The sequence below is a fragment of the Homo sapiens genome, chromosome 2 (genome assembly GCF_000001405.40).
Source record: "Homo sapiens chromosome 2, GRCh38.p14 Primary Assembly".
NCBI classification, from domain to species: domain Eukaryota; kingdom Metazoa; phylum Chordata; class Mammalia; order Primates; family Hominidae; genus Homo; species Homo sapiens.
In genome coordinates, this window is record NC_000002.12 from 128,788,945 (window position 1) to 128,794,124 (window position 5,180).

General features: G+C 53.1%; 1 annotated feature.

Annotated features, from left to right (window-relative positions):
- Positions 812-1,312: an enhancer, noted in NCBI's record as "H3K4me1 hESC enhancer chr2:129547330-129547830 (GRCh37/hg19 assembly coordinates)". NCBI's record gives its function as "activates a minimal SCP1, AML or CMV promoter by ChIP-STARR-seq in naive H9 embryonic stem cells {active_cell/tissue: H9 hESC(naive)}" and the evidence as "EXISTENCE:reporter gene assay evidence [ECO:0000049][PMID:30033119]".

Sequence of the window (5,180 nt, forward strand, 5' to 3'; positions counted from 1 at the left end):
GTGTGTGCGTGTGTGTCTGCATGTGGGTGCCTGATGTGTGTGCAGGTGTGTGCATGTGTGATGTGAGGGTGTGCGCATGTGTGTGTCTGCATGTGTGTGTGCATGTGTGTCTGATGTGTGTGCAGATGTGTGCATGTGTGTCTGCATGTGTGCACATGTGTGAATGTGTGTGCATTTGTCTGATATGTGTGCATGTGTGTGTGCATGTATGTGTGTGCATGCCTGCGTGGGGTCGTGTTCTCCCTATTACGCATCCACTTGCTATCTCCTTTCAGTCTGGGCACAGAGCTCTAGCTTTTTCTTTATAATGATTCTCATGCACTTTTCTTCATCAACACAGTGCTCCTTGACGTCCCCAGATCCACTTGTGGCCTTGGCTCATGCCACTTTCCTCCCTGCAGGGTGCAGGGCTCAGCAGCCTGCCCATGAGCCAAACCCACTAATCCGTGTAAGATGGACGAACCCAGAGCCCAGGGGGACAAGTCTCCTGGACTTGAGCAAGCAGCAGCGCCTCCCGGGAACCCAGCTCCACGTGAGTCCAAAGGGAAGGAGGTCCCTGTGTGTTCTCCATTTGGTGAGTGTTGAACAGACAGATGAAAAAATGCTGGGAGCAATATAAAATCCAGCCAACTGCAAGCATGGGGGTTACAGCCTCTCCATTCAGCACCCACCTCCCCCTTCCAAACCTCTTCATAATCTGTTATTTGGGTTAAAGATACAGGACCAAGGAGCTTGGACCGGTGTGTGGAAATCTAGGCGTGTAGTTTGAAAAACGTTAGCCCGTGTTACTGATGGGCCAGAGAAGAGCTGCGAGGGACGAGGGCTTGGAACCTCCCCCCACGACCCACAGATGCTCTTATGGTGGGTCTGCTGATGTGTGACAGGTCGGGGACCCAGATGCCTTGGTCCTGGAGGAATCAAACTGGACCTCAGCCCCACCTCCGGGAACCGCGACTCCATGGCTTTGCACTCAGCCCCCGGGAGACGGGTGCCCAGGGTGTGGGGACAGCAGGCAGTGTGGGGTGGAAAGAGGCACCAACTGAGGCTCAGGGCAGCTCAGATGAACAAGGGAATCTGGTCAGCGTGTGGCTGACCCGGGTGAGCTGTTCAGTCGCCGGCACGTGTGCATAGCAGGTGCTCCTCACAGCCATGCCCCTCCACTGGGAAGGACGGCTTCGGTGGCTTTCATTTACGAGCACACTGCCTTGGTGGTGTAGTGGGTCTGTGGAGCTGTTTCAGATCTTGAAAACCTCTCTGTCCAGAGCTCCTCCAAGTTCCAAGTCCAGGCCTTCAGGGGCAGGAGGAGGGCTGGCCCTTCAAGATAAACATTTGTGGCACTAAGCCTACAGTCTCGGAGCCAGTGGTTGTGGCAAACCAGTGGCATTGATGAGACACAGTTGCACGTTTACTGACAGCATCCTGTGTGTCTCTCCAGTCCCCCTGATTCCTGCGCGTCCAGGGTGGAGATGTGACATCCTTGCTCATTCTCGTGAGCCGTTCTCCACCAGAGACAGAGCGTCGCACAGATACCACCTTCCCCATATGCGGGCTGGCCTCTGCAGGGAGCGGCCTGGGAAATAATGAAGCCAGCTGACCCAGCCAGGCCGCTCCCTCACGACAAACAGCAGCTAGGAAAGCGTGCATGTCTTCCCTGCCTCACTGGAGTGCTGTGCTGGGCAGTTTTCTTGTGCTTTCTGCAAAGTAGAGGACAATGCATCTGCGTTATGGCTGAAGCCCAGAGGCCACAGCCCTCGGAAACTCTGCAGAGCAACCCTGTGTTAAAGTGAACTAAATATGGCCTGAGAGGGATTCCCTACTTCTATATTTGAGTTCTTGTGGATGAGCTGCAACCTAGCGTAATAGGCAAACAAGATGGAAAACCTAACTAGGAGCATGCGCCGGTAACAATCGCTGAGTCTTGACCGATCCCGGCAGCCGTACTTCAACCATTCGTGCACTGCTGAGTGTTCAAACTGTGTGCAAATAAGGCAACGCCAACATGTCACCAATCCAGCTGTGTCTGGACCTCACTTCCTCACTTCCAATTTGTGTATGTCACTTTACTTTTTTTTTTTTTTTTGCCTGTAAATTTGACCACTGGAGTCTCTCTGAATCTGCTGTGATTCTGGGGGCTGCCTGATTCGCGAATCGTTAATTGCTCAATGAAACTCCGTTGCATTTAATTAGGCTGAAGTTTTTCTTTTAACTCCCGGAAAGGGCTTCCTCAGGCTGGCCGGCCCTTCAGGCCACTCGTGCTCTCAGCCAGGCAGTTGCTCCAATAAAGTCCAGGGCCAGCCCTGCCAGGGCCTCAGCCCCACACCTCGGGGAGTGCTGCTCCCAGCTCCCACTCTGCCCTGCTCTCTGCCCTGTGCCTCTGCCTCCCGACAGGGCTCCCCCCACACATGGAATGAATGCTTCTCTGGCATACTCTGATTTCACCGCAGCCACAGCCGCCTTTCTAGAATGGAAGTCTGAGTACATCAGCGACTCTCCTCACTGGGCCTTTGTCAGGCGGCCTTGCCAGTCCACCTCTTGTCGTGACCTGCCTTGCAGCGTCCGAAGCCAAATATGCTGTGCCTCCTCCTTTTGCCAGGATATTCCTGCTGCTGCCTGGAGATCCTCTTCACCCTTCACCTGGTGGAGAAGCCTTCTCAGCCCCACCAGCGGTCTCCAAACCCAGCCAAGGACTCAGAGTGTGGGGCCTGAAGGAGGGGCTCTCAGCAAAGCCTTCCTGGATGAAGGGGCTCATCCTCTGCATTGCATGATGAGAAAAAGGCCCAGAAAGGTGAGCAGGAGATGCTAAACCCCGTCACCCACGCACCAGTCCCACCCGAACGGGGTGCCGTCCACTCTCTCACCCCTATGACGACATCTGAGATCCCGTGTTGAGTTGGTCGGCTTCCTCAGATTGCCTTCTCCCCTGCCAGCCCCAGACCCTGCGGGTGTGGAGCGGGAGCCCAGGAAGCAAACCTCAGCAGCCCTGTGTGGGGACAGGGAGGCCACTCTGCAGAGGACCGCTGAGCTGTCTCCATTGTGGTTTAGGAACTGCCCAGGTAAGGAGCCCTGGTGGATGCTGAGCAGGGGTTCCAGGCAGGGGAGCGGCATGAACCAAGGCCACAGGTGGACCTGGGGAACTGGAGATGCTCCCTGTGGGGGAAGCAAAAGTGAACAGATCATAATAAAGAAGCAAGAGCTCTGTGCCCAGTCATGCAAGGAGACCACAGGGTCACATCGCAGGAGACAGCAGGGGATGCATAACAGGGGGAACATGACCCCGCGCGTGCACTCACATCCGCACAGTGTCTCACACACACATCCACGCACAGTGTCTCACACAAAGACCTCTCACACACACACATCCACACACAGTGTCTCTCACACACACACCTCACACACATGCACAGTGTCACACACATCTCACACACTCACACACAGTGTCACACACACATGCACACACAGTGTCTCTCACACACACCTCTCACACACACGCACACACAGTGTCACACACATGCACACACAACCCTCACACATCCACACAGTGTCTCACACACACATCCACACAGTGTCTCACACACATCTCTCACACACACGCACACATGGTGTCACACACACATGCACACACAACCCTCACACATCCACAGTGTCTCACACACACATCCACACAGTGTCTTACACAGAAACACCTCTCACACACACACATCCACACAGTGTCTCTCACACACGCACACAACACCTCACACATCTCACACACATGCACAGTGTCACACATATCTCACACACATGCACACACAGTGTCTCACACACATGCACACACAACACCTCACATACATCCACAGTGTCTCACACACAACACCTCACATACATCCACACAGTGTCTCACACACACGTACACAGTGTCTCACACACACGCACACAGTGTCTCTCACACACGCACACCTCACACACACATTCACACAGTGTCTCACATATACACATACATCCACAAAGTCTCACATACACACACACATGCATACACAGCGCCTCACATACACAGACACATGCACACACAGTACCACACACATGCACACACAGCATCTCACATAACATACACGCACACACAGTGCCACACACAGGCACATGCACATACAGAACCTCACATATGCACACATGCAGGTGTATCTATGTAAACAAACATTTGCGTGTTCATAGAAAGGTCTATATGTTTTAGCAGTTAGCTGGGATATTGGGGAAGGGAAAGGGTTAAAGAAAAAGCTTTTCTCTTTTTGTATGGACTTTTGTATTATTTGTATTTTTAATAAGTAGAGATTACATTTATATTTTTTAAAAGAAAATACAAAGGCAAAGTAGGAATTTCAAATAGTGTGGATTCAGACAACAGTGCAAGGTTCATGACCTTACAGGTGACCCCACTGTCGTTCTCCCCTGGGATCTGCTCTCCCCTTGGTGAGAGACTCCTTCTGGGGATGGGGGGGAGTGGGAGAAGGAGGACAGGCCACGTGGGACTGGGCCATTGCTGGCCTCTTTGGAGCTGGCCAGATGCCATGAGTCTATCCCCAACTGGTGGGGTGAAGTGTGGGGAAGCCACCATAAAGCCCCTCCTATGGCTGGGGTTTCATCCTCCTGACCCACTGTCTCAGCCCAGCGTGGGCAATTCCCCCACCCCAAATGGGGGAAAGGGAGCAAGCAGGAGCCAGTGTGTTCCAGGGCCAGGTGCCCCTCTCCGTTTCCTGGCAGCAGGATGCCTCACTTCACAGCTTCACAAATGAGTGACCCTGACCCAGCCTCTACGTGTGCTTCAGCCTGTCTGGCCTGGTAGGGACCCAGGGAAGGAGCGTGCATTTGGAAGCGTGGGTCTGAATCTGAGTCCTGGCTGGCCGCTTACAAGCAGACTGTCCTTGTGAGGAGGACACCACTTCTTAGATCCTTAGTCTCATCTTCTAATTGTGCAGATAATAATGCATTTGTCACAAGGCTGATGGAATGAAAGGACTGTGTATGTCAGTTGGGGCCAGGCCCCCACAGAGGCTCGATATATGTACTTGTCTCCTTTCCAATCATCTACACCACCCCCGCCAACCCAAACATGACTTTGGGATATGAATGCGACACAAACTCCTGCTCAAAAAATTTAGTTTTTCTCCCAGTTCCAGGTGACAAATCAAATTAGATATGGCATTGTG